Raw genomic sequence first — 26800 nt, 5'->3', positions numbered from 1 at the left:
AGGGAAAACCATCATAGGCTCGTAATACAATCAGCCTGAAGACAGACAGGTGGTCACCTCCAGGCAACATGGGAGACTCGGCCCCTCCAGCAGCTACTGCACTCCGTCACGGGTGGGGTCCGCTGGGTGTCACGGCTGAACTGTGTCCCCTCCCAAGATGCACGTGTTGAAGTTCTAAGCCCCGGCATCGCGCAGTGCAACTGTGTTTGGAAACAGGGTCTTTAGGAAGGCGATAAAAGTAACTGGGGTCACTAGGGCGGGCCCTAATCCCATAGGACCAGCGCCTTACAAGAAAGAGGGCACAGATAACATAGGGACGAGCCAGGTGCCACGGCCGTCCTGTGGGCACACCAGTCTGTGGCGCCGTGTTGGTCCCCCTCCAACGTGGAAAGGCCCGGTCACTAGGTCACTCATTACCGCCAATCGCAGACCCAAGTCTGGTCACCGCCTGGCCTGCAAGAATCCCCGAGGCCGCTGCCCCATCCATCCCCTCCCTGTGAAGGCACTGGCCGGTCTTTCGGGCTGGGCTCACGGCTGGAGGAGCAACCGTGGCTGAGCAAGCAGGGAGGCAGCTTAGGAATGCCTGTACGGCCCCACCTCCCGCCAACCTCAGGTCAGGCAGGTGGGAGGTGCCAGCCCGGGGGCTGTGGCCACACTCAGGAACACAGGATCCCAGGAAAGCAGACAGTGGCAAGCAGCTTCGGGGCGGGGCTTTCCTGCTCTGGACCACTGACCTCTGATCTCTGAAGAACTTTCTGTCCCACAAGCTAGCGATCGTGGCCACCACTTACCCAGTACTCTCTGTGCCAGGAAATACGCTATCGTCTCACTGAATTAATGAGAAAACAGAGACCCCGCGGCGAGAACGCCTTCCTGAACTCCTCGAACTCCCGAACGGAAGGACAGACGCGCGGCTGGAGAGCCAGAGGGCCCTGGAGTTGGCTCTGCAGTTTCAATGAGCTCAGCCACTCCAGCTTACGGGCGGGGACACACTTCTCCCTGAACCGAGGATCCCCTGTCAGGCAGGGACACCCAGGACCCGCACACGAAGCAACAGTAACGAGGCTGAGCACAGAGAATGTCCAGCGCAGTGTCCGGTGTGCACAGTGGCAGGGCCTCCCGGGTGCCAGGACGCTCCAGTGTGAGCAGTGACAGGGCCTCCCGGGTGCCAGGACGCTGTGGGCCCAGCCGTCCCCAGAGCCAGAGCATGAGACAGCAGTGACACCGCCCAGGCCCCAGCACCCCAGCTTCACAGCCACATCCCTAGATGGGACTCCTGCCACCGGTCGGACCGCAGCCCACAGCTCTGCTCCACGGCCTGGGGCCACCGAGGCCCTGGAGTCTCAGCCCAGGAGCAGGACAGGTGGAGGCTGATGCTCCATCCATGCCTGGACTGCGTGAGGACGGGCTTTCCGTGGTGGGGCAAATGGAGATGGACACAGGCCTCCTCTGGCAGACATAGTCGGCCACGGAAGAGGGGGCTGGAAAAACGGGTATGGGGGGACCCAGGTCCACTTCATTTCAGGTGGTGGCATCTCGGCCTCCACCACACCCACTGGTTTAAAAGCCCCACCTAGACCGGATGCAGTGGCTCACGCCTGTAATCCCAGCACTCTGGGAGGCCGAGGTGGGAGGATCATTTGACCCCAGGTGTTAAAGACCAGCCTGGGCAACATGGTGAAACCCCATCTCTACTAAAAATACTAAAATTAGCCAGTGTGGTGGCGCACACCTGTAATCCCAGCTTCTTGGAATTGCTTGAGCCCAGGAGGCAGAGGCTGCAGTAAGCCAAGGTCACACCACTGCACTCCAGCCTGGGTGACAGAACAAGACTCTGTCTTAAATAAATTAAATTAAATTAAATTAAAATAAAAGCCCCGCCTGGAAGCAGCAAGGCCACTCTGCCCGCCACTAGCAGCATCCACCCAGACCAAGCTTGGCTCTGGGTGAGACAAACCCTCTACTGGACAGATTCCAGCTCCTGCGGCTAGGGGACACCCTCTCCCCCACCACCATCCCCACCCCCATTCTAATGTCAAGATGTCGCTGTTTTCCGGCACAGGCACCTGTGCTACCCCAGCGCATTCCACCATTCACGTCCTGCGACTCCCACTGGGGCAGCCATGACAAGCAGGCGGTCACCTGGCATGGCCCACCTGCTGACTGTCCCCTGCCACAACCAGGCAGGGGCACGCCTGGACAGCTCAGTGTACAAAACACATAAGGACCATCCGAAGAAGGAACAGGAGGCCTGGCCGTTGTCTGAAAACCTGCTGATCAAGAAAGCACCAGGGTGCGTTTGCTCACACATGTAATCCCAGCACTTTGGGAGGCCAAGGTGGGAGGACTGCTTGAGCCTAGGAGTTCAAGACCAGCCTGGGCAACATAGCAAGACCTCATCTCTACCAAAAATTAAAATAAAAAAAAAAATTAGCCAGGCACACAGGTGGGGCACGCCTGTGGTCCTAGCTACTCAGGTGGCTGAGGCAGGAGGACTGTATAAGCCTAGGAGTTTCAGGCTGCAGTTGAGGTGAGATCACACCATTGCCTTCCGGGCTGGGAAACAAAGCAAGACTCTGTCTCCAAAAAAAAAAAAAAAAGAAAAAAGAAAAGAAAAAAAAAAGTGCCAGTAACAAAAATGGAAGAGCAGGGGCTTGGAAGAAAATCTCAGAGACATACTCAGGAGGTGTTCTGGCATTGGCACCCCTGACGGCTCAGGGGCAGGTGCCCAGTGGACAAGCACACTGACAGCCCAGAGCTGAAATGTGACTCAGAAGTCAAACTCTTCATGAAAAATAAGTTTTAAGAAAACCCTACCAATTTACTTCACATGAATTCAATATATGATTATTGAAAAATCTACCCAAACAGGGCCAGGCGCAGTGGCTCATGCCTGTAATCCCAGCACTTTGGGAGCCCGAGGTGGGTGGATCACCTGAGGTTGGGAGTTCGAGACCAGCCTGACGAACATGGAAAAATCCCACCTCTACTAAATATAAAATTAGCCAGGCGTGGTGGCGCATGCCTGTAATCCCAGCTACTTGGGAGGCTGGGGCAGGAGAATCACCTGAACCCGGGAGGCGGAGGTTGCAGTGAGCCGAGATCACGCCACTGCACTCCAGCCTGGGCAACAAGAGCAAAACTCCGTCTCCAAAAACAAAACAAAAACAAAACAGAAAAAACAAAAAACAAACAAAAAACGAAAAAACACTACCCAATTATAAGACAACTGTTCCAGTAAGTATAAAATAAAAACTCTAAGCAAGAGCAAAAGCACCCTGTTGTAACTGACAGCCTTTCCCCCAACAAGGGGTCCCCAGCACCTCATGGCCCAGGACATCAGATCTCATGGTGCCGCGTGCATCCCACCCCTGCCCATCAGAGTGAGGACTAGAGCACTGAGGATACCAAGGCTGGTGCCACCTGACCTGGGACAGGCCCCAGAGCCTCCAGGGACCCTGGGAGCATCCTGCCCGCTGTACCCACTGCCCAGGGAGCAAGATTTGGCCAAGGTCATATGGCCAGGGGACTGGCCAGGCAAGACTCCTCCCGGCAGGCCTGGCAGGAAGCCCAAGGACCAGGCAGCATTTTCCAAAGCTCAGGGGTGACCAAACCAAGAGCCAGCAGACAAGGCTCTATAGCGTGAGTCAAAAAGACCAGGGGCAGATGGGGGTTAACTTGAGGGAGGTGCTGGGGGCGCCACTGTGCCTGACAGGCAGAAACGGGCCCCCGCCAGAGGCAGATCCCCAGCCTCCTGCCCCCTAGAGGGGACTCCTCAGCACAGCATGGGCTCAGGCCCTACCTCCCCACCATCTCCACAGCCTCCTCCACTCTTGCTCCCTGGGCTTTCTGGTCCCCTTGTTGCAGGACCAACACCAAGAGCCCCTGGGCCACAGTAGGAGAAATAGCCCTCAGCCTGCCTAGGCCAGCCCCACACCAGGGCCACCTCCTCAGCCTGCACTGCCCACAGCCCTGGGAAACAGGGATTCCAACTGCATGTGGTGTGAGCTGCCACCACCTCCAGGGAGCTCTCAGAGGGCCCAGGCCACCGCCCGGGGAGCAAACCCTCAGCAAAGGCGGGACAGTGATTCAAGCATGAATGCTCCAGAATCCAGAAACAAGATGTGTTCATTCCCAAATACCGATGGGCCCCTCACAGGCTGGCCGCCGTTCCATGCCCAAAGGAGGAATCCGTGGGCAGGACAGATCAAGCCCTTGCAGTCACAGAGCCAAACGGGTCCCTTCTCGGCCTCCCTTTCTGCCTCTGGGTTGAGGCCCCTCAAGTCATTGTGCAGCTGTACAGGCACAGCCAGGGGCCAGGAATGAATCAGCGCTCGGGGGAGGTGGAAGTGCGTTGGAGGCCGGTGCCAGCACCATCCCCGCCTGCCTGTAATTACTAGGGATCTTAGCGCAGGCTGTGGGGGGCGGCTGACGGCGCCGGCCGCCCAAGTGCAGAGCTTCCAGGGGACCACGGGCTCTGTGCAGCCACAAAGATGCTTCCCTATCCTGGGGCCTCAAAGAAAGTCACCAGACAAGGTGGCTGGGAAGGCAACACAGGGCAGACTCTGGCTCAATGTAAGGAAGGACAGGAGCCAGCCTCAACCAGCAGTCAGTGGCACCCCGCCTCCACAGACGGTGGCGAGTGTCCCCACCCATGGTGGCACCCACAGGCAACACTAGCCCAGGGCAGCTGGCAGAGAGGGCCATGCAAGGCTGGGTGGAGACAAGTGGTGATGTCCAGCTCTGCTCACCACCTGCCACTCCTGCAGTGACGCTGGGGTTGCTCCCCTGACCAGGGCCCAGACCTGTGAACTGGGGAGAAGGGTGAACCGGGCTTCAGCCTCCCGGCCAGTCTGCCTCCTGGAGCTCGGAAGGAGGACAGGCCCCTCCTATTCAATGGCCAGGTCACACACCAGCCCTCCCCTGCAAGACCACCTATCCTGGACAGTTCAGCCCATGGTGCCTGTAGCCAGCAGACAGGTCTTGGCCCTCAGGTCTCCACCTTTGGAAGCTTCAGTCGAAGACAAGGCAGCAACAGGAACACAGCTCCCAGCAGCCCCCACCCACTGCCCTCCCATCTAACGGTGGCCCCTGAAAGCCCAGGGCAGCACCAGCCTTCACTTTAATCCTGAACCTCAGGTCCACTCGGGCAGTACCACGAGCCAACCAATCTCCCCAACGAAGAATACTTGCTCAAGGCAAGGCTGTGGGGACAGCAGGCACGGGCAGGACACTCTCCCCCAAGCAGCCCACAACTCCACAAGCGCCACATCCCAGAACGCCTGGCCACATCCATCGGTAGACACGGACTTCATGCAGCCACCAACGGCACAGCAGGCATGGGACACCAAGCGAACGCTGGACGCCACCTGGAGCCAGCAGGCATGGGACGCTGAGCAAGCACCAGCAGAAGGGTTGTACACCCTGGAGCCAACAACCGGCAGGACAGTGCCTGGGGCCAAAGCCCACACAGGCTGGGCAGCCCAGAGGGCAGCATGACACGGCAGCCGGTCTTTGTGCCCTGGCCACCCCACCAAGGGGACCACATCAGCACTGCTCCTGGGAGACGTGCCCCCTGCTAAAGGCTGGCGGTGGCGAGGGCGGGTAACACAGACATGCACATGTAGAGAAAATGCAGGCCAGGTCTACTCAGTGACAGCAGACCCAGCCACCCTGCGGCAAGATGGTGCCCATGGGGGCCACCCCAGGAAGTATCCTTAAACACAAAGCACTGCATGCACGTGTGCACACACGGACACACATACACATGTACACGCGCACGGAGCTGGGTCCAGCACTGTGATTTCTCTCCTCCTCAGGTGCCGGGTCTGCTGCCCCCCCCACCCAGGAAGGCGACTCCAATGCCAGGAGGTGCCTGTCAGCAGGAGGTGCCTGTCAGAGACCACCCCCCACCGTCTCCAAATGGAGGGGATGGTGAGCTCTGCACACCCCAGGAAGAAGCTGGATGTGGCAGAGAGGAACAGCCAGGCCCGGGCAGCCGGGCACGGAGCAGAAAAGCCGGCAGTGTGCTCCCTGCCACCCAGCACATGACGCCCACCACCTGGCGCCAGCCCTTACCAATCACACCAGAGGCGGCAAACCCAACTGGCTCCTGGCTCCAGGAACCCTGTGGCACCCGTCTCCTCGAAGCACGGCTGCGGCCCCGCCAGGCTGGCTTCCCCACCAGCTGCTAGAGTGACCAGCCAGGGCCAAGAGCCTCGGCACAAGGAAGGCCATGGCCACGTCTGCAACAGGGACTCCTCCTCCTCCCCAGATGCTCTCTCAACCTCACATATTCTAGGACAGGCTGTGGGCCAATGGCACTATGCCCAGAGAAGGTGGTGGAGCCGCCACACTCCAGGTCATGGGTCACCTGGGAGCCAGGGCTTCTCTGCGGACACGAGACCTTGAGGAAAACACCCACCTGACATTCTCCTGGCATTCCAGGAGACACAGCCAGCCAGGGAGCCAGCCCCTCAGCACACAGGGATGCACGGGGCTTCCCCAAGAGGGCTGCAGCTTCAGTAGCCTTAATTCCAAAGGCCACCGGGGGAGGCAGATTCCAGCACTCCATCCCTCCATCTGGGCCACTACCCAGGGCAACCTGAGCAAGCGCTGGGCCCGGGCTCCTGTGGAGGAAGGGGTCTTCCGCGCCTTGCCCTCCCAACACCTGCAGGGCCCAGCCCACGCAGTGCCCCCAGAAGGTCTGAGATTATGTTCTCGGCAAACACCGGGAAGCCGTTCCACTCCCCTCCCCTTCATCTTCCATGAAATTCCCCGAGGACACAGCTCCCAAGGGAATGGAGCCACCAGAAAAGAGGTCAAAGTCTGCGTTACGGATTCTTACGGGGAAGAAAATCAAAACTGCACTTTTTATTCTCGCATTTTTAATCACCAAGGCCAAGGACAAGCGTCCTCCTTTGCCAAGGCAAACACCACTCAGAACTGCAGTTAAGGCGATGCAATGTCCAAACCAAACCAAACAGCTGAGCCGCATCGCGGGTGACACTAAGCAGGCCACAGCACAGCCGTTCCAAGAGGCACTGCCAGGGCTCTGCAAGCCGCCAACCCAGGCACAGGAGCGGCCCCGGGAAGGGATGCCAGAGGCAGCACCGTCCCAGGAGAGGACAGAGCTCAGCACTGCCTGGACCGGCTGGACCGGCCCAGGAGTGCACACCGGTGGCCTCAGCGGTCTCCTGACTATGTCTCCATGTGGGCTGAGTTTCTGCCTGGCTGACATTGCCAAAAGCTGCCCAACCAGTACCGGCACTACCAAGGCACCTTGAGCTCCCCAGTGACAAAGCACAAAAAGGTCTCAAAGACTCAGCAGTCAGGCTCCCGGAGTGGCAGCAGGAGCCACCTACCTACAAAACCAACCCCGCCTGTGTGCAGCAGCAGCAGCGCAAGCCTGTCACCAGGGCAAAGCCTTTCCAGAGTGGATCGACCCTTCAGACACCTGCGGCCCACCGCGTCCTGCCGTGCTAAATCAAATCATCAACCGCCACATCTTCACTTGGGAAAATCACCAATTAACCCACCCGTGGAAGACAAAACGCAGAACCTGTGTGTTTCACGTGCTCCAGACCAGCTGGTCTGCGTCCACAGGGGCTCAAAGTCCCCAAACACTCAGTCCTAAGAGTTTTCCTGCCAGCAGATTTCACTTAGACCTGCAGATAAATTACAGCTTCACCTAGGTGAAGGCCTACTGCCCGGTTAGGAGAGTTTTATTAAGGACGATCACGGGGTCGGTCCCCCAGAGCAAAACCACTCCATGTACTCACCCCCTGCCAACTCTCACCACGAAAGTTCCTGCTTTCTGGTTTCAGCGCAGAAGGAGAAAAAATAGGAAAAAGGTTCCGCTGGTACTTCTCTTCCACCCTCTGCAATCACAAACAAGTCGTAATGGAGCTAATGACTAATAATTTAATAAACCTCCCTCCCTTGACAACATGTGCTTCCACAGAGCAACAAGGCCAGAACCGTATGCCACAGACTCTGTGAAACCAAACCTAACAACCCCAGGGCCTGTGCCTTTCCCAAGCCGACTCCTCAGGTCACCCTGAATCCTGTTTCCCAGTGGCTCCGACGTGGCTTTAGGACTCATCTAGTCGACCGCACACCCGCCTTCAGAAACCTTCCAGACTGACGCGGCCCCAACTTCACAAGCTTTATTGAAAGCTGTATTCAAGTGCAATCGGCCCCCTGCACTCCAGCTGGAACCAGAGGGGCCACCCCTGAAGCCTCCATCTGGCTCTCCCAAGCCTGAGAGCTAAGAGGGCTTCCCAGGCCCCTGGCCAGGCACGCCTTGGCCGCCTACCACAATCAGAAACAGTTACTCTGCCGGGCAGGGTGCAAGCCGGTTAGGAAACATGAACCAGCGACTGCCGGGTAAATACCCACTCCACTCATCGCCCAGCCTGTCACTGAACCTGCAGACAGTTTTGAAACAAAGCACATCTGTAAGAGATCGCCCAGGACCCAGGGACACCCAGAGCAGGGGTTTCTCCTCTGAGAAAATGCTCCCCGGCAGCTGCCGGGCTCAGGCGTGGGGGTCTGGACCGAGAACGGATGCTGAAGAAAGAGAAAACCAAGGGCCTGTTTGTCGGTATCCCAGCCACAAAAACGACTGGGGAGGGGGCGGCAGGGGAGGCTTCCAGCGGTGCTCTGCGGCCCTTGGATGTGAACCTGTCATTTCGCAGACGAGAACGTGGATGCCACTCTTAACACATCTGAAGCAAAGGCAGGCACGTCAGCCTCCTACACAATTAGTCTTCTCTCTCCGCGGTTACATAAGATGATAGATTATCCGTCCACCCATCCAGCCTGCCCGCGCTCCGACCTCCCACCTTAGGCCCCAGCATGGGCGCCGGGCAGGAGTTGTGGGAAGGGAAAGCCTGTTGAGAATGAAGTGCCCGAGGCTCGCGCAACCGCGCCTGGAGGAGCCCCACGGTGCCACCGCGCCGACCGCGGCCTTCAGACAGCCCCCATGCCGTCCTGGCCGCCGCAACCCCTGGGCCCGCCGCCCCCGCCGCCCCGGCCCTGCCCGGGTGTGCTACGACCCCGACCGGTCCGAGGGCTTCCGGGGCCCGGCGCGCGGCTCCGTTCCCGCCGACGCCAAGGCGAGCGCGCGGGGGCCGAGCAGGGCCGTCGGAGCGGGGAGTGCTCCCCGGGCCTGGGGCTGGGGACTGACCGGGCCGCGGCGCGCATGGGATGGGGGGGCCCGGGCGGGGGTGGCCACCTGTGAGCGGCCGGCGCCGGGCTCACCACCCCAGCAGCCCGGGTCCCGGGTGGCCGCGCCGGGAAGACCCCCAAAGTCCCAGCCTCCTGGCCCGGCGCGCGGCCCCGGGGCCGCCCTGGTCGGGCTCGGGCGCGCGGGCGGCGCGCGACCCAGGCGCACACGGAGCGGGCTCAGCTCGGCGCCGGGGGGCGCTCACCTTATAGACATTTTCCGTGAGCCGGTGCATCTCCTCTGAGCGAGACAGAGACATGGTCCTGGGTCCCGGCTGCACCACAGACCGGAGCGGGGGACGCAAGCGGCGGCAGCAGCGGCGGTAACGGCAGCAGGACGGAGACGAAAGCGGACCCGAACCACAGAGCCCGGCGTCCGGCGGCGGCCACCTTTATAGCCGCCTCAGGCCCCGCCCCGCGGCAGTCCCCGCCCCTGCGTCCCGCCCCCGTTGCGCCCGCATCACCGCCCCCGACCACCCGCCCCCGCCCGGCGCTGCCGCTGCTAGGCAACCGCCAGGCCCCGCCCCCGCACCGCCCTTTCCATTGGTGGGTTCCGGAGAAGGGGGAGGGGGGCGGGATCGGAGGTGGGGCCTAGTGGCCGACTCCAGGCAGCGATTGGTCTGCGGCGGCGTCGATCCTGGGGGAGGAGAGGGGAGGCGCGGCGCGGGCTGGGGCCCTGGGAGCAGCCTGAGGGGGCCCGGGCAACAGCCGGGCTGGGGGCGGGGAGGCGGGGGCGGGGTGGCGCAGGAAGAAGGAGCAGAAGGTGCGGGGAGGAGAGCGGGGGGCGCCGGCGGCAGCGCGCGTGGAGGCGGCACTTCGCGAAGTGGCACTTCGGGGCGGGCGGCCCGCCGGGTCGCGGCCTGGCGCTGCGGGGCGGGGAGCGGCTCGGACGCAGGACGCCGCGGGCCGGGCTTACAGGTGGGAGAGGCCCCGACCCCGCCGCTTCGCAGGTAAGCCCGCCGGGCGGGCGGCGACCCCCCGGCCGGCCCCTCGGGGCAGAGAGGAGAACCCTGGGGGAGGGGGTGCTGCAGGAGGACCCTGGAGAGAGCTCGGCCCTGGAGTGGGGGACGACTTGGAGAAGGAGGATTTCGGGGGAGCATCGTGAGGAGAGGACTTGGAGGGAGGATCCTGCAGAAGGTGAACTCTGGGGAGGACCCCAGACAGGCAGACAGCGCTTGGGGGCTTGGGGCCGGGATTCTGGAGAGGGGAGGACCCTGGGAGAGGAGGGTTGGGGAAGAGGATCTTGGAGGAGGGCCCTGGGAAGGAGGATCTGGAGAGGGGACAGGGGAGTGTCCTGCTGGAAGGCCTGGGGACAGGGCGACCCTTAGGGACGGGGAGGACCCTCCTGCCGTCAGAAGATTCTCGTTGGAGGCAGTTTACTGAGAGAGAGAGGTCTCGGGAAGGAAGGGTCGAGGGCAGTAGGAAACGAGGGGCCCGGAGGACTCTCATGCGGTGGAAAGCCCTAGGGGGTGGGGGAACCTTGTAGGAGGAATGGAGGAGTCAGAGCTGCCTCCAATTTTTAGGAAGGGTCCTGCTTAAGGGTCCTCCCAAGGGGAGATTCTGCCGGGGAAGCTGGCCGAGTTGGCACACAGGTCTCCCGGTACAATTCCCGTGGAGAAATATTTACATAAATTAGGCTAACATAGAGGAATTATTTGTTTTACGTTGTGAAACACCAGATCTGAGCGTTTCCGTTTAATGAAACCTCTCAGTCTCCCAGCCTCCCATCCCTGCAAAATCATTCATTCATTCATTCCTTCAACGAGTCAGGCCCCTGGGGGAGACGCAGTTGTGCTGGCTGGCCGGCAGATCCCCAGACTGGCACGGGCTCAGGCCGATGGAAAGACCAGGGAAGTAAGATTCAGGAAGCATTGCCTCCCTCCCACCACAGCCCCGCGCCTCCTCTCCTCCGGCTGAATTTCCTTCCAGCTACTGGCCCTGGCTGCTTCCTTTTTCTTTATTGTCTCCAGTGTTTGGGGGTAGATCCCTGTGTATTTATTTTCTAGGATTCTTTTGGTGGTAAATGACAGAAAGCTCGCTCAAACTGGCCCTAACAAATGAGGGCATTTACCTGAAGGTAGGAGCATCTCCACTGACCCTGACCCCCTTCTTCTAGGCCAGCTTCCTGCTGTGTTCCCTGCACCCACCGATCTCACACGCAGCCCTAGGACAGACGTCCACTGGCCTGAGTTGGGTCTGGGGCCAACACGGAGCAGGTGGGGGTAGAGCAGCTCTGCTCGCCTGGAGGAAAGTTGAATGGCTGGAACCAAGATGACAGATGGAGGCTGGCAGGCAAACACGGGAGGCCTCCTCACTCCAAGAGGGGAGTCAGCCTGGGGACAGTTCTTCTCCAGGCCCTGCTGCTCCCATCAGCTGCAACACAGGAGAGGTAGGCTTCTCCGGAAAAGCTCCCACGGTCCTGGATCCCGCTCCACCTTCTAGAAGCTCCCAGCGTTACTTCCTGAGCTGGCCTGCACATCGTTGCGCTACTCCCGTCCAAGGGGGGACATATTCGGTGACCGACTCAGAACGCAGCCTGCTTCCCGGGTGGCCAGTGGCTCAGCAGTCTCGGTGCCTGAGCCTGCTCCCTCCGCCCGGCGGCTGGGCAGGTGGCTGAATGCGGGCTGGAGGCCTTCCCTGAGAAGACGGTTATCCATGCTGTACATGGAAGTGACCAGCTCGGCACCTGAGGAGACACACCGCGGCCGATGACAGGCGCAGAGCAGGACGTGGTGAGGTCCTCATACCTAGGAATGCAGAACAAGGGCAAGAAACTCGGTGCCCGCCTGGCATCTGCCCTGCACCAGTGGCCTCCAGGAAGTTCTCCACCAAGGATGTTCCCCAGGCACTCTGTGCTCGCCTTCACCAGCGTCCTGTGAGGTCTTTCACACTGATGGGGAAGCCTTTCTAAAGGGTATTAGGGGGCTTGGGGGCTGGGGGTGCTGAGTACCAAGGGTCCCAGGAAGAGACAGGCCAGGCTTATGGGCTGGGCATCCAGAGATCGCCCTGACGCCAGCTCCAGGTGGAGTTAGGAGGGCACTCTTGTCCCGACGCATTTACAGACCACTCCCTCTTCTTGTTCCCCTCGACTCTGAGAGTGTGGTGGGGTAGCTGTGGAACCTGACTGCTTGCCTGAAGGTTGGGCAGCGTGGCTAGAAATTGCGGCCCAGACCTGGGATCTCACCCACACCTCTATGAGACGTCCTGAAGGAAACCATCGACTGAGCGGAGAGGCTTCGCCTTGCCCGCCTCCTCCCAGGAAGGAAGAGCGGAAGAGGCGTCGCCAGCCACCGAGACTGCCAGCCACCACCCCCTCCCAGACTCTCTGTCCCCACCCCAGACCAGGGTCACCTTCTTCCTGCACTGGGGGTGGGGTGCGGTAGGTTTCGCAATCCAGACTGTGGGGTGGGGGTGGGAGCAGGTGTGTGTAAATGAGCAGCTCGTCAGGAGTCACTGAGAAGGAGGCAGATGGAGCTGGTACCCAGCAGGTCTCCTCTCATAAGCGTCAACCCTCGCCTGGGCGGGCTGGGGGATCCTCAGCACCCCAGCTCTGAGCCAGGGGTCTGCAACCCGGGCACCAGCGATGGGCCCTCATGCACACAGGGCGCCGAGCGGGGCCGGAGGCAAGAGTGACTTCAGACAGGAACCCGACGCCACAGCCGGTGACGCGGACCCTGGGTCAGCCAGCACGATGGGCCGCTGGGGAGAGGAGGGCTGGAGGCAGAGAGTGTAAGTGTGCAGCCTTCATCAGCTTATTTTTAGTCGCGTTATGTAAGTGGCTTCATCTCAACGTCACATGGGGGGGGGTCTCAGATTTAATTACAGGATGACAGCCTTTGCTTTTCAAGCAAGCTGTTCTCCTGGCAAGCCAGGCGAAGGATTGGGGAGTTTTGCTAAACAGAAGGAGCCCTTTCTGAGGTGACCACCCGTCAAAACTTGAACCCGCTTCCACCTCCGTCTCCCTCTTCCCGACCAGCCTCACCCAGCCTCGGCTGAATGTGGCCTGAGAGTAGCCACTTGTCCGCAATCACAGGGACGTTTTATGCCTGTCAAGGGAGCTTCCTCTCTCCTCTTCCTCCCCCTCCCACCTTCTGCCTGGCAGCTTTGCCTTCTCTCCAAGAGAAGGGTCCACCCAATCAGAACTCCTCTTCCTTTTCATTCCTGGATTAAAGCACTTGTAATCAGTAACCAGAAAGTTCCAGAGCGGGAGAGACCGGAAGGCACTGGAGTGCTATCGGACGGGTGTCTGGGGCAGAGCCAGGAGGGCGAGCCTCTTCTCTCCCCGCCTGCCCTTGCTCACTTCCCCCTCCATGCCAGGTGCTGTGGGAGCAGCTGGGCCTGGCCGGGGTCGGCGGGTGAAGCTATCCGCATGGTGTCTGGAGCACCGTTTCTTTGCTTCCTGGATGGGCTGGATGGGCTCCCGTGTTCTTCACCAATGGCAGCGTTACCAGCACCAATGGCAGCGTTACCAGCAAGAAGGCAAAGGCAGGAGCACATCGAGGGTGGGAGCCAGGGCTGTGGGGTCAGGAGTCCCGCTCCTTGCCGCGGGAAGCCTGGCTCAGCCACCTCCAGCACACTTCGGCTTTGTCCAGCATAAAAGGCAGAGCGACGTTTTCACTGCAGGCTGTTTCCCACCAGGGCAAGTGGGACAGGGCGAGTGCTGACGTCTGCAGGCATGGTGTGCATTTAGGGGTGGGCGGCACCGAGGGGGCATCATTTGGCATAGGCGGGCCCGGGGGCCACTGGGCTAGATGACTGGCTGGTTGCTGGGGGCAGGTGTCACAGCCTCTCTGAGCACCCTCTAAGTGGAGGACAGAACATTGTTGGGAGGAGTCCAGGCATAAAGTGACATAAACAGCGCAGAGAATGGGACCAGCGCACCTGAGAGGTGATCATTAGCCTCAGCAACTGGATGGGACATTCCGAAGAGCTCCCAGCCAACACAGATGGTCACTCCAGAGGCTGACATTTAAAAGGAAGGGGCCCGGCCGGGCACAGTGGCTCACGCCTGTAATCACAACACTTTGGGAGGCTGAGGCGGGCAGATCAACTGGGGTCAGGAGTTCAAAACCAGCCTGGCCAACATGGTGAAACCGCATCTCTGCTGAAAATACAAAAAATTAGCCAGGCATGGTGGTGGGCACCTGTAATCCCAGCTACTCAGGAGGCTGAGGTAGGAGGATCGCTTGAACCCAGGAAGTAGAGGTTGCAGTGAGCCGAGATTGTGCCATTGCACTCCAGCCTGGGCGACAAGCGAAACTTCGTCTCAAAATAAATAAAAGTAAGGGGCACAGGGAGGGGGCCCCAGCTCGTGCCCCTTCTGTGTGGGCTGCACATGGTGACTTCCTTCCAGAGAGCACAGAGTGGGAGGTAGGCAAGGCGTCTCCACAGTGGAGAGCCCGACCCACTGTCTCAGCCCAGAGGTCAAGGCTGGCACCATCACCGAGAGGTCACACGGGCAGATGTGACAGGGCGCTTCACCACTGGGCTCTTCCTCCCAGACCCATAACCCTTGTCTTAGTATTAGAAAAACACTGGCAGACCGGGCGCAGTGGCTTACACCTGTAATCGCAGCATTTTGGGAGGCCGAGGTGGGAAGATTGTTCAAGAGCAGTCTGGGCAACATGGTGAGACCCCATCTCTACAAAAAAAATTTTTTTTTTAATTAGCCAGGCGTGATGGCACATGCCTGTGGTCCTAGCCACTAGAGGCTGAGGTGGGAGGATCACTGGAGCCCAGGAGGTCAAGGCTGCAGTGAGCTGTGATCACACCACTGCACTCCAGCCTTGGCGACAAACCAAGACCCTGTCTCGAAAAGAAAAGAAAAGAAACATTAGGCAAATCCCAACAGGGGGACACTCTACAGAAAAACCGACCAGCCCTCCTGAAAACTTCCCAAGTCATCAAAACCAAGGAAAGTGGGCTGGGCGCGGTGGCTCACACCTTAATCCCAGCACTTTGGAAGGCTGAGGCGGGCAGATCACAAGGTCAGGAGTTTGAGACCAGCCTAGCCAACATGGTGAAATCTCATCTCTAAAAATACAAAAATTAGCCGGGCGTGGTGGCAGGCGCCTGTAGTCCCAGCTACTCGGGAGGCTGAGGCAGGAGAATTGCTTGAACCCAGGAGGCGGGGGTTGCAGTGAGCTGAGATGATGCCACTGCATTCTGGCCTGGGTGACAGAATGAGACTCTGTCTCAAAATAAAAAAAACCAAAAACCAAAAAACAACCAAGCAAAGTCTGAGAAACTGTCACAGCCTAGAGGAACCTGGAGACAGCTGATCCCTAAATGTCACGTGGGATCCTGGGTGGGGTCCTGGGAGAGAAAGAAGACATTGGAGGGAAACTGAGGAAATATGAATAAAGTATGGGCTTTAGTTAATAATAATGTAGCAGCATTGATTCATTGATCATCATAAACACATGTACTGATGCAAGATGTCACCAAAGGGAAAACTGGGCTGGGGGGATGGGGGGGTGGCGGTATCTTTGTAACAATTGCATGAATGAAAAATGTGCTAGAGTTAAGGTTGTCATGGGAATGGGCAGTGATCTTGCACAGGCCTCCAGTTTTACCTGCAGGAGTCCGAAGGCGTCACCTGTGCCTCACCCTGGAATCTCGTCCTGGCCCCCAGGTCCCCACTCTGTCCACCTTGGGGTCAGTGGATGGAGCTGTTGCCCCTGTGGTCTGCTGCTGCTGATCACAGAGAGCCCCAGGGGGCCAGCACCCTGTGGAGTGGCCCCTTATCCCGAGGACAGGCACGTGGGCCCGCCCCCCACCTCGCCCCCTCCCCCGTCTGTGGCTGCGGCTGGACTGCCCGCAGTGGAGCTGGGGCTGTGAGGCGCGAGGGTCCTGCTGACGGCTCAGCCCTTCTGCCACCCCAGACGTGGTTCTCACCTGGCCTCCTTGGCAGATGGTGCCTTGGGTTTGCTGCCCACAACCCAGCGTGGCTCATGGCTGTCCTGCAGCCATAGTGTTGGCCAGACTTCTGGCCATAGCCAGGGAGATGCATTGCTGCCCATCCGGGCATCTGATGTCCCCTCTCTCCTCTCGCAGAGAGTACGTGGCCCGTGATGGGGAGGAAGTTCTGGAGGACAGGATGAGGCCACTGTCTCTAAGGCAGGGAGACCCTGCCTGCTCTGAGCAACACATGGGCAGAGGAGTGTGGGCATGGCCTCTCGGGCCCTTCCTGACCCTGTGTTGCCGTGGTCCAGCCTCAGCCCTCAAAGTGAGGCGGCCTACAGACAGAGCTTCCCTACAGACCAGGCCAGAAAGGCCAGAGGGGCTTCCTTCTGAGGGTGGTGGGGACAGACGACATGTGGCCTCCCTCCAGAGCCTGCCCTGGCGGGGGTGGGCGGGGAGAGGTTCCCCAGCAACAAGCCCCCTTATATAATCCAGCTCACATCGCGTGGCGTGACTCCAGGTGCCTGTGGGAGGCAGTGCGGGGGTGAGCACCGGGGCGCAAGTGAGTCTCAGAGTTTCGCTCCGTGCTCCTCCCCCCCTTGCTATATGTCAGCGTCATCCGGAGCCTGCCAGCCCGGTCACCCACTTGCTTATTAGAATACATTAGCTGACAATGTGGATTTAAATAACTCGGGCAGGTGACAGCCTGAAGCGCACCCAGCGTAGCTGGGCTCTCCTGCACTGGCCCAGGTGAGGCTGGGGTCTGGGGCCGGAGGAAGGACACATGTGGCGCCGGGACGAACTGGCCGAGCTGGCCGCTTCAGCCACACGTCTGGAGCTGGGCAGGGTGGAGGGGGAGGAGGGACACGGGTGCCCACAACGCAGCACCACCCCGGGCAGGAGTGGGAGCCCGCCCCAGTCCCAGGCCCACTCGCCATCTTCTGAACCCAGCATGGGGTGAGAGTGGCCAGTGACTGGGTGAGCAGGAAGACGGACCTGTGTGAGGACACTGAGCACTGGCCCCTCCTGGCACTGGGGGCCGTACTCGGCTCAACCTCCCTGAGCAAAGACGAAGAAAGACGAACTTTGCTTAACGCTCAGTATAATTAGTCTTCATTTACCGCCTGAAACGTTGTCTTTGTTTTCTTATCACTCTGCTTCTTAAATGACTTAAACTGCCTTGAAAGTGATCTGAAAGGTATTTCTGGATGGGAGCGGAGGGAATCTGTTCTTCAGAATCTGAAATTGGAGGACACCTGGAAAACAAGACCTCAGTGTGTTCCCGCAGGTCCCTGCAGACAGGAGACAGCAGAGCTGTACCTGCGGGTGCCGCTTCGCATGCCGTCAGGGAGGACCCAGACGTCTCCATGCTGCTGGGCGCCGCGCAGATGGCTTCCCTGCCCGGGGCTGGCTGCTTCTAATTTCAGCTGCTGGAGGCTCCGCGCTCTCACTCTTGCTCGCGCTCTCTCTCTCTCTCTTTTATTCCATGTTTATTTAAAGCCAGATTTTGAAATGTTGTCTTCAGCCCTAAAATCTCACTTTATCTTCTTGCAGCAGATCCTATAAAACCCCACTTAGGTGCCTAGAGGGTGGGGGACTTCGAGGACAGAGTTTCCCTGGCCCGCTGCCTGACACTGTCTCCGTAAACATTCCGATGACTGGTCAGTGTTTTCCCAGTGGAGCAGCCCAGTGTCACGTCCACCCAGACGGAATACAGACGAGCCGGGTGGACGTCGTGAGTCCAGATACACGAGAGAGAGCATGGCCTCCCCAGTGACATGCAGGAAGCACGCCTGCCCCGGTGCTCGGAGTTGAACTTAGGCAGGGGAGTCTGAGGCTGCCCTGCCGTCTCCTGTCTGGGGTCGTGATGCAGTGGGGCCTGTCATGAGTGGTCCAGACGTGTACCCCCGGAGGTGGAACAGTGACAGCCTCAGGTGCCCTGGTGCCTCCTCCTTCCCGGCTCTTCCTGGCACTCTGCTTCCTTCTCCTAACCTGAGAGCCACACGCTATTTCTTCTTGTCCATCTAGAAACCAAGGACATCTGGAAGGGGTCTTCCACCTTAGACCCTAACAGGGGAAGTGCAACGCAGCTTTCTGGCCGCGCTGACCCGACAGGGCTGCTCCGATGGGGAAGCGTGGCCACTCGCACAGATGTTCATTTGCACAGCATCAGACCACACAGCAGCTGGGGCCCTTTGTCCCACCGGCCATGGGAGCCCACAGTCAGCCCGTGTGCATGGTAGGTGCTCCAGAAATATGAGGTCCCTTTCTCTTTGATGAGACGTAACTACCCTCATGTCCCTCTATGGCTCGCCTCAGAATGTGCTAGAAGAGCTTTGATGAAAGGGGGATGTCTTGATGAACTGCACAGGGTGAAGGCAAAACTGGCCGAGGGGCCAGGCTGGATGTGTAGCGGGGAGGACACCTGCAGGAATGGAGTTTACCTAAATAGGTGCTCCTGGAGCCAGTAGTGCTAAGGAAGGAGCTCCCTGGCTTATCGTGCGCAGAGCCGCAGCGCCCCAGCCCAGCCACGGAGCCACACAGCTGCCTCTGGCTAGGGGCTAGGAGGCGGGCAGGGTGGGACGCAGCCGGGGGCAGTTGCCCCAGGGCTGGCTAGAGATGGCGGCCGTGGCCAAGCCAGTCTCCAGCCGACTTAACGCCAGAGCTACCGGGGCCCAGAGGAGGCGTGGCTGTGTTTCCAGTGAGAGCCAAGCAGTTTTCCAAAGAGCGCCGCAAGCTACTGCCAGGGCCTTTATGTTCTAAAGATGTGCGGAGCGTGTCTCAGTGGCTTCGCCGGCATACTTGGCCAGAAAGTAACATGATTTCGAGAAAACATGATTTGAGTGTTAAGCTCGAGAATATCATTTCCCCCAGCAAGTTCTTTTTCTTCTCACAAAGTTGGAAGACACAGAAATCTTTGTAGAGGTTCATGGAAAACTTTAGCTGTTTCCTAGCTGCCCAGATGAAAAGAATATTCCATCCACTGGGGGAAAACAATTACTCTAAACAGATTCGGGTGGCATTTTACCCCTCGTCCAACTGGCTGCACGTGACCTTTGCCGGCGTGGCTCCAATGCCCAGAGACGAGGCTGGTGTGAAGAGCTGGCTGCTGATCCCTGGAATCTGCCGCTAATTCTCACTCAGATTTTGAGATTTTCTCTGCGGCTGCAGGAGCCAACAGAGTCCTTTGTGCGGCCTCAGGACTCGGCTTTCAGAGGCCCTGGAGCCAGTGGTGTTGGATTCAGCCGTAATTCTTCATTCTTTGGCTCAAGGGAAAACCTTGATTCTGCACAGGATTGCAAAAGCCGAGGCACTCCAGCTAGGACACGGCGTCATTGGAGTGCCCTGGTGCGTTCCAAGGAAAGTTGAGTTGGTGATTTCCAAGTGGTTTTGGGCAGGGCAGGGTCTCCAAAAGGCTGGAGGTGCTGGAGGAGAGGCTGGGTTAGCTTGGCTGGAAGGGGCCCTGCCCTTGTTGCGTCAAGCCTGGGAGACTGGACTTGGGACTCAGGTGCATTTGGAGTTTTTTTGTTGTGTTTTTTGTTTTGTTTTGTTTTGAGACGGGGTCTTGCTCTGTCGCCCAGGCTGGAGTGCAGTGGCACGATCTTGGCTCACTGCAAACTCTGTCTCCCGGGTTCAAGCGATTCTCCTGCCTCAGCCTCCTGAGTAGCTGGGACTACAGGCGCCTGCCACCATGCCTGGCTAATTTTTTTGTATTTTTAGTAGAGACGGGGTTTCACCATGTGAGCCAGGATGGTCTTGATCTCCTGACCTCGTGATCCGCCCGCCTCGGCCTCCCAGAGTGCTGGGATTACAGGCATGAGCCACTGCACCCGGCCGGAGTTGTTTGTTTTGAGACAGGCTCTCTCTCTGTCGCTCAGGCTAGAGGACAGTGGTTAGATCTTGGATCACTGTAGCCTTGAACTCTTGGGTTCAAGGGATCTTCCCACCTCAGTCTCCTGAGTAGTTGGGACTACAGATGCGCGCCACCACGCCTGGCTAGGTTTTGTGTTTTTGTAGAGATGGGGTCTCGCTATGTTGCCCAGGCTGGTCTCAAACTCCTGGACTTAAGTGATCTGCCTTCCTTGGCCTCCCATCATGCTGGGATTACAGGCATGAGCCACGGTGTTGGCTGCATTTGGGTTTTATATATTTTTATTTATTTATTTATTTTGAGAGACAGTCTTGCTCTGTCGCCCACGCTAGAATGCAGTGGCACGATCTTGGCTCACTGCAACCTTTGCCTCCCAGGTTCAAGCGATTCCCCTGCCTCGGCCTCCCAAGTAGCTGGGATTACAGGTGCCCGCCACCACACACAGCTAATTTTTGTATTTTTAGTAGAGGCGGCGTTTCACCATGTTGGCCAGGCTGGTCTTGAACTCCTGACCCCAGGCGATCTGCCCAACTCGGCCTCCCAAAGTGCTGGGATTACAGGCGTGAGCCACCACGCCCAGCCGCATTTGGATTTTATAATAAGCTTTGCTGTGCAGGAGAAGTGGTCCCTGGCATCCCAGCCCCCTGGCCTGACGAGGTTGGAGGGCTCCTTGGGCCCCCACCACTCTGCTGCAGCCAGGGTGGGTGCAGGGCTGGGAGGGTGAGCCACGAACTTGACATCGGTGACCTTCACTGCCACCTGGTGGACAGCCTGGGAGTGGTAGCTGGTGGGCTGCGCGGCGGAAGGGGTGCAGTGTCCCGGACGAAGACGGCTGAGCATTGTGGAGACCAGCATAGAGAGGCCACAGCAAGTGGGGTGTGACATCAGGGACAAGGGAGAGGTCACAGACTCGGATAGTGGCCGTCCTGTGCTGGCCCCTGCATCTGGGTGGTTGGCAGGTGGAGCACCAAGATACAGGGTTGATAGGACTAGGCTGGAATCCTGGACTCTCTCTGATCCCGGCAAAGTCACAGAAGCTTCTCCTGTCCTGTCGCTGGTCTTTGGAAGGGAGGAGTGACACCCTCCTCCTGGGCTGGCGCGGGGAAGAGAAGCTCCCGCGTGTGAAACAGCTCCACCACCAAGCGCCTGCAGACGAGCGGTGTGTTCCGCCTGGAACCTGCCGAGGGAACGTGTGGGGAAGGTGTGGCCGCCCTGGGAGGCTCAGCTCTGCAGGAAATTCGCTCCTTCTGATGTGCGTTTCAAACGGCCCTACGACATCTTTTTCTTAAATTGAGGTAAAATTCACATAACATAAAATTACCCATTTTAAAGTGTTCTGTTCAGTCCAATGTGGTGCCATTCAGCACATTCATGATGTACAGTGGCAACTCCACCTTGTTCCAAAACATTTTTTGAGATGGAGTCTTGCTCTGTCGCCCAGGCTGGAGTGCAGTGGCGCGATCTTGGCTCCCTGCAACCTCCACCTCCTGGGTTCAAGCGATTCTCCTGCCTCAGCCTCCCGAGTAGCTGGGATTACAGGTGCCTGCCGTCACGCCCACTAATTTTTGTATTTTTAGCAGAGACAGGGTTTCGCGACGTTGGCCAGGCTGGTCTCGAACTCCTGACCTCAGGTGATCCACCCGCCTCAGCTTCCCAAAGTTCTGGGATTACAGACATGAGCCACCGTGCCCGGCCCCCAAAACATTTTCATCACCCCAAAAGGAAACCCCAGCCACTGGCAATCACTGGCTCTTCCCTGGCCCTAGTGGCCCCTCCCCCGCCCTGGTGGCCCCTCCCCCACCCTGGTGGCCCCTCCCCCGCCCTGGTGGCCCCTCCCCTGCCCTGGTGGCCCCTCCCCCACCCTGGTGGCCCCTCCCCCGCCCTGGTGGCCCCTCCCCCGCCCTGGTGGCCACTCCCCCGCCCTGGTGGCCCCTCCCCCGCCCTGGTGGCCCCTCCCCCGCCCTGGTGGCCCCTCCCCCACCCTGGTGGCCCCTCCCCCGCCCTGGTGGCCACTCCCCCGCCCTGGTGGTCCCTCCCCCGCCCTGGTGGTCCCTTCCCTGCCCTGGTGGCCGCTCCCCCGCCCTGGTGGTCCCTCCCCTGCATCTGTCCTTGGGCACTGGCCCATTGGACATTTCGTGGGACTGGAACCACACAGTATGTGGCTTCTTCCACTGAGCATGATGTCCTTGGGTTCATCCACGCTGTGGCCTGTATCAGAACTTCCCGCCTGTTGATGGCTGGATAGCTCCCCATGGGAGGGATGTCTGACATTTGGTTTCTCAATTTGGCAGTGGATGGATACTTGCTTGGGTCTGTACCTAGGAGTGGAGTTGCTGGTTCTTATGGAAATTCCATGTTTAGCTTTTTGGGAAACTGTCAAACTGGTTTCCACAGCGGCTGCAGCATTTTACCTCCCTGCCAGCCAGGGTACAGTTCCTCACAGCTTCACCACACTGGTTTTCTGTTTTTTGTTTTTGTTTTTTTAATTCTAGCCATCCTGAAGGTGTGAGGCAGATCTCCTGGTGGTTTTGTTTGTTTGTTTTTCAGACAGAGTCTCGCTCTGTCGCCCACGCTGGAGTGCAGTACTGCGATCTTGGCTCACTGCAACCTCTGCCTCCTGGGTTCAAGCGATTCTTATACCTCAGCCTCCAGAGTAGCTGGGATTATAGGTGCCCACCACCATGCCCGGCTAATTTTTGTATTTTTAGTAGAGATGGAGTTTCACCATGTTGGCTAGGCTGGTCTTGAACTCCTGACCTCAGGTGATCCACCCACCTCGGCCTCCCAAAGTGCTGGGAATACAGACGTGAGCCACTGCGCCCAGCCTCCTGGTGGTTTTGACTTGCATTTCCTGGTGGCGATGGTGTTGAGCGTCTTCTGCGTGCCGCCTTTTTCAAAGGAGCCGGAATTCTCCCAGAAATGTCAGTTCTCCCATTCAGTTTCCATCGGGGAAGTGAGCCTGGAGGACGCCGTGGAGTCCACACCCTACACCTGCCTTCCCCTTGCAGGTTTTTGGCCCAAATCTCAGCTCCTTCAGCTACATGGGGCCTCCCTGGACCCAACCCAGGGGCACCTTTTGGCCCAAGGGGAGTTTCAGAAGCAGCGAGGACAGACACATGTGGGGGGCATCTGCAGGTGGTAGAGGGTGTGAAAGGAGGTCCCTGAGCTGCCAGGCACCCAGACTGTGTCTGTAGGGAGGCCCCGCAGTCCCTGCACCCCCTCGACTGCCCGGTGCTCTCCGTGGAGAAACACGACAGACGCGGTTGGACACAGCACAGTGGATGGACGTCCCCACCTGCTCCCTGCAGACGCTTTGGGTGGAAGCCCAGACTGTCCCTGGCTGCCAAGCAGACCATGCTGAGGGGTGGTGGCCGGGAGCCAGGGAGCCGGCCCACTCCTGCCCCAGTGACACCCCACAGGCCACAGGAGAAATGCCAGGAGCCTCATGGTGTGGAAAGGGACACGGAGGCCCGGAGCACTGAGGGGCTTTCCCAAGGCCACGCGGCCGGGCACGGGGAAGCTGGGCCCTCCCGGCGCCTCCAAGGCCTCTTCCCGGCTGGAGGCAGCTTCACCCACCAGGCCTGGCAGTCGAGAGTCTGAGACTTCAGTAGTAATGGGGTTTCTTGGCAGGAAACTGGGAGATGAGTAGGTTTCCGGAAAGGCTGGAGAGAACCTGAGAGCTGAAGGGAAACACCGGAGCCAGCCTGGCCCAAGGACCAGCCTTTAGTCCAACCGCAGGCCCTGTGCTGGCTGGGGTGCAGCTGGCTCTGCCCCTGGGTGTGGCTGCTGTTACTGCCTCCCCGCCCCCCAAATGCAGCTCTCAATGCTGCCGGCTGCTCCCAACGTGAGGCCCAGCCTCAGCTGTGGAGCAAAGGTGCACCTCCAGGAGCATCTCCACCAAACCTCAACGAAGACCACCCCCCCCAGGAGGGGCAAGCTGGAACCCCCTGAGCTGACCTCCTGGGGCCTCCTTCGGCCCCTTTAACCAAGCACGGTGGAGCCCAGGCTATCCTGTCCACGATTGCACCGCAGACGGGCGCCTGAGTGCCCGCGAGCACACACTGCTTTCAGGTGATGTCCTTAAACTTTGGATCTCCTAGACGAGCTTGCCCCTCTCAGTAAGCCCCAGGCCTCCTAAGGCCATTTCTCAACAGGAGCCGTGGGCCCTGGCACAGGTAGGGTGGAGCTTAGCACTCTCCCCTGTAGACTCAGATGGCTCTCATATGCGTATTTCTCTCTTTTTTTTTTTTTGGAGACAGGGTCTTGCTTGTTCTGTCACCCAAGCGTGATCTGGTCTCACTGCAGCCTCAACCTCCGGGGCTCAAGCAATCCTCTCGCCTAAGCCTTCTGAGTAGCTGAGACTACAGGCGTGCACCACCATGCCCAACTAATTTTTTTAAAAGTTTTTTTCTAGAGATAGGGTCTTGCTATGTTGCCCAGACTGGTCTTGAATTCCTGGGCTCAAGCGATCCTTCTGCCTCGGCCTCCCAAAGTGCTGGGATTTCAGGCGTGAGCCACCGTGCCCAGCCACTAATATGTATTGTCCAGACCTCTTCGCTAACCTCCAGATCTGTGGCTCCAACCGCCTACCTGACAGTCGCCAAGCAGACCCCCTGCCAGGTCGCAGCCTCGGGCCATGGTCCCTCCGTATCCCCACACATACAGCTGGGAACCTTGGTGTTACCCTTTCTGTTTCCTCTTCCTTCACTCTCCTCCCCTGACCCCCAGCCTAGCCCCCATGTCTTGTCAACTTTGAGCTCCTGAATCTGTCTACCCACCTCCGGGCCCCGGACCCCTCCACCCCGGACCTGGGAAAAGGCCCCTTACCTGATCCCCAGAAGCCCTTGGCCTGTCCAAACCCGTCTCCATACTCAGTGAGGTTTTCCAAGTACAGATCTGACTGAAGTCCCCTGCGGCAGCCCTGTGCTGACATCCATTGCCCCAAGGATAAAGACCTGGGTCCTCAGTCCCTCCACAGCAGCCTGCACCCAAGTCCCCTCGCTGAGCTCCAGCCACTGGCCCCGCTGGGCAGAAGTGACCATGTGATACAGAGCTCCCGCCTCCCCGGAGTGGGGTGAGAATCTAAGATCCCCGCTTCCCCAGGGCTGTGCAAGAGGCTGAACACCTGTGTGGACCTGTCTGCCCTTTGCCCCCACACGCTAGCTGACAGTAAGCCCCCCAGGCAGGCACACAGGAGAAGGATAAAAAAGGAGACCCCCGTGAACTGCTCAGAACAGGCTCAGCCCCAGGGGGCCTCTGCCCCCACCTCCCCACGCTCTATGGTTCTCTCTCCATGAGGTCCAGGGCCTCCCAAGACCTTCAGGTACTAAACAGCCTTTGGTCACTTTGGTCACAGCAGCTTCATTTACTGGGTGATTCTCAGTGTGATAACTGGAACTCGGCCTGACTCACCCAGGATTAAACCTCTCCCGGCTGCCTTGTGCTCAGACCTGCCATGGCAGGAAAACTTGGGGTTTGCAGATTCTTAAATGTTTTGTGTTATAAGCCGGGAGCGGTGCCTCACACCTGTAATCCCAGCACTTTGGGAGGCTGAGGCGGGCGGATCACCTGAGGTCGGGGATTCGAGACCAGCCTGACCAACATGGAGAAACCCCGTCTCTACTAAAAATACAAAATTAGCCAGGCATGGTGGCGCATGCCTGTCATCCCAGCTACTAGGGAGGCTGAGGCAGGAGAATCGATTGAACCTGGGAGGCGGAGGTTGCGGTGAGCCAAGATTGCGCCATTGCACTCCAGCCTGGGCAACAAGAGTGAAACTCCGTCTCAAAAAAAAAAAAAGTTTTGTGTTATATGGATTCCAGTTCTCAGCTGAAAAATCTCCACCTTTTCATCTACTTTCTCCCTTGCTTCCTCCATCTAAACAAAAACGCACAGAGTTCGAACTCTAAACAAAAACTCACAGAGAGTTCAGGGGTTCTCTGCTGCGACTTCCACTCTCTGGCTTTGTGTGCATCCGTTTCCACGGGCTATTTTTCCTCTTGATTTTTGGCCCTGTGGTCTCTGAATGCTGGATGTCATGCGCTGAAGCCTGGAGACTCCAGATCCGGGGTCAGCAAACTGCAGCGGGGGGCAGCCGCCTGCTTTTGTGAACGCAGCGTATTGAAACACACCCATGCCCATTTGTTCACAGATGCTCTGTGGCTGCGTGTGCCCTACAGCAGCACGGTTCAGTAGGCAGAGGCCACTTCTACTACCCGGCTAAGGAAAAGATGGGCAGAGCCTGCTCTGGATGACGCTGTGTTCCAGCCGGCGGAGAGGGTCCCCCATTTCCTCGGTAAGGAGGGTGACCTCCTCGCTCCAATCAGGGACTGAGCTGAGCTGAGGACAAGCTGCCCTTTCGGTGAGCCTATCTCTGTGTTGCTTGTTTCTAGGAACTAATCCTCCAGGAAATTAACAGACAGTTTGCTGTGGACAACTAGAGCCCTCCCCTTCCTTAGCCCTGAGCGAGGTAAACAATTCTGCTCTGCCTTCCGGAAGTTTCAAATTAGCTCTTCAACCAGCGTTTTCACGCAGCTTCCAGTCCTGCCACAGTCTTGAAGAAGAGATCAGCTTTCGCGTCTTCATTCTTGCCAAGATTAGCTGCCCTTCGAATCTCCCGTGTGTCATTAATCCCAGCACGAACAAGCACTTGGGAACTGCGGGCTGCAGATGGTCTGCTTATCCTACGGAACCCTCCTCTTTTGAGGCTTAACCCCTTTAGTCTTTGTTGCTTCTGTAGCTTTCTGATGCCATTAAAGAGATGATTTTTATATTTTTGCCTGGCCTTTCTAGTTCTTA

General features: G+C 58.7%; 1 protein-coding gene and 2 long non-coding RNA genes across 35 annotated transcripts in view, besides 9 other annotated features; 2 read left to right on the top strand and 1 right to left on the bottom strand.

The window, feature by feature from the left end:
* Positions 1 to 9592, bottom strand: part of BAIAP2 (BAR/IMD domain containing adaptor protein 2) — an 82284-nt gene extending 72692 nt beyond the window's left edge. For 20 of the 32 annotated variants that reach the window (NR_169574.1, NR_169577.1, NR_169578.1 and 17 more), the window contains exon 1: positions 9435 to 9592. Coding sequence is in view for 25 of the 32 variants with exons in the window: in NM_006340.3 (NP_006331.1) it covers positions 9435 to 9488 (54 nt within the window). In the remaining 7 variants the exon portion in view is untranslated. Of the gene's footprint in view, positions 1 to 7781; positions 7881 to 9434 lie in introns of all 32 variants that reach the window. The other 12 variants (NR_169579.1, NR_169576.1, XM_011524193.2 and 9 more) reach the window with 1 other exon arrangement.
* Positions 983 to 1528: an enhancer, noted in NCBI's record as "H3K27ac-H3K4me1 hESC enhancer chr17:79017015-79017560 (GRCh37/hg19 assembly coordinates)". NCBI's record gives its function as "activates a minimal SCP1, AML or CMV promoter by ChIP-STARR-seq in naive H9 embryonic stem cells {active_cell/tissue: H9 hESC(naive)}" and the evidence as "EXISTENCE:reporter gene assay evidence [ECO:0000049][PMID:30033119]".
* Positions 4969 to 5520: an enhancer, noted in NCBI's record as "H3K4me1 hESC enhancer chr17:79013023-79013574 (GRCh37/hg19 assembly coordinates)". NCBI's record gives its function as "activates a minimal SCP1, AML or CMV promoter by ChIP-STARR-seq in primed H9 embryonic stem cells {active_cell/tissue: H9 hESC(primed)}" and the evidence as "EXISTENCE:reporter gene assay evidence [ECO:0000049][PMID:30033119]".
* Positions 7177 to 7729: an enhancer, noted in NCBI's record as "H3K4me1 hESC enhancer chr17:79010814-79011366 (GRCh37/hg19 assembly coordinates)". NCBI's record gives its function as "activates a minimal SCP1, AML or CMV promoter by ChIP-STARR-seq in naive H9 embryonic stem cells {active_cell/tissue: H9 hESC(naive)}" and the evidence as "EXISTENCE:reporter gene assay evidence [ECO:0000049][PMID:30033119]".
* Positions 8780 to 9775: an enhancer, noted in NCBI's record as "H3K27ac-H3K4me1 hESC enhancer chr17:79008768-79009763 (GRCh37/hg19 assembly coordinates)". NCBI's record gives its function as "activates a minimal SCP1, AML or CMV promoter by ChIP-STARR-seq in naive H9 embryonic stem cells {active_cell/tissue: H9 hESC(naive)}" and the evidence as "EXISTENCE:reporter gene assay evidence [ECO:0000049][PMID:30033119]".
* Positions 8780 to 9956: a biological region, named in NCBI's record as "H3K27ac-H3K4me1 hESC enhancer GRCh37_chr17:79008768-79009763".
* Positions 9647 to 9956: a silencer, noted in NCBI's record as "silent region_9115". NCBI's record gives its function as "represses an Ori minimal core promoter by ATAC-STARR-seq in GM12878 lymphoblastoid cells {active_cell/tissue: GM12878}" and the evidence as "EXISTENCE:reporter gene assay evidence [ECO:0000049][PMID:35858748]".
* Positions 10024 to 15610, top strand: BAIAP2-DT (BAIAP2 divergent transcript). Its single transcript, NR_026857.1, has 2 exons — positions 10024 to 10178; positions 11345 to 15610. It is a non-coding gene; the product is annotated as a BAIAP2 divergent transcript (long non-coding RNA).
* Positions 13011 to 13618: an enhancer, noted in NCBI's record as "H3K4me1 hESC enhancer chr17:79004925-79005532 (GRCh37/hg19 assembly coordinates)". NCBI's record gives its function as "activates a minimal SCP1, AML or CMV promoter by ChIP-STARR-seq in naive H9 embryonic stem cells {active_cell/tissue: H9 hESC(naive)}" and the evidence as "EXISTENCE:reporter gene assay evidence [ECO:0000049][PMID:30033119]".
* Positions 13619 to 14227: an enhancer, noted in NCBI's record as "H3K4me1 hESC enhancer chr17:79004316-79004924 (GRCh37/hg19 assembly coordinates)". NCBI's record gives its function as "activates a minimal SCP1, AML or CMV promoter by ChIP-STARR-seq in naive H9 embryonic stem cells {active_cell/tissue: H9 hESC(naive)}" and the evidence as "EXISTENCE:reporter gene assay evidence [ECO:0000049][PMID:30033119]".
* Positions 20822 to 20881: an enhancer, noted in NCBI's record as "active region_12953". NCBI's record gives its function as "activates an Ori minimal core promoter by ATAC-STARR-seq in GM12878 lymphoblastoid cells {active_cell/tissue: GM12878}" and the evidence as "EXISTENCE:reporter gene assay evidence [ECO:0000049][PMID:35858748]".
* Positions 23825 to 26774, top strand: LOC124904078 (uncharacterized). Of its 2 annotated transcripts, XR_007065935.1 has the most exons (3): positions 25969 to 26071; positions 26154 to 26297; positions 26395 to 26774. It is a non-coding gene; the product is annotated as an uncharacterized LOC124904078 (long non-coding RNA). The 2 variants fall into 2 exon arrangements; XR_007065934.1 differs by having other exon boundaries at positions 23825 to 26297.
* The last annotated feature ends 26 nt before the right edge of the window (positions 26775 to 26800 follow it).

The sequence above is a fragment of the Homo sapiens genome, chromosome 17 (assembly GCF_000001405.40).
Source record: "Homo sapiens chromosome 17, GRCh38.p14 Primary Assembly".
Lineage (NCBI taxonomy): Eukaryota > Metazoa > Chordata > Mammalia > Primates > Hominidae > Homo > Homo sapiens.
The sequence above is the reverse complement of the archived record's forward strand: the minus strand, read 5'-3'. Positions and strand labels throughout refer to the sequence as shown.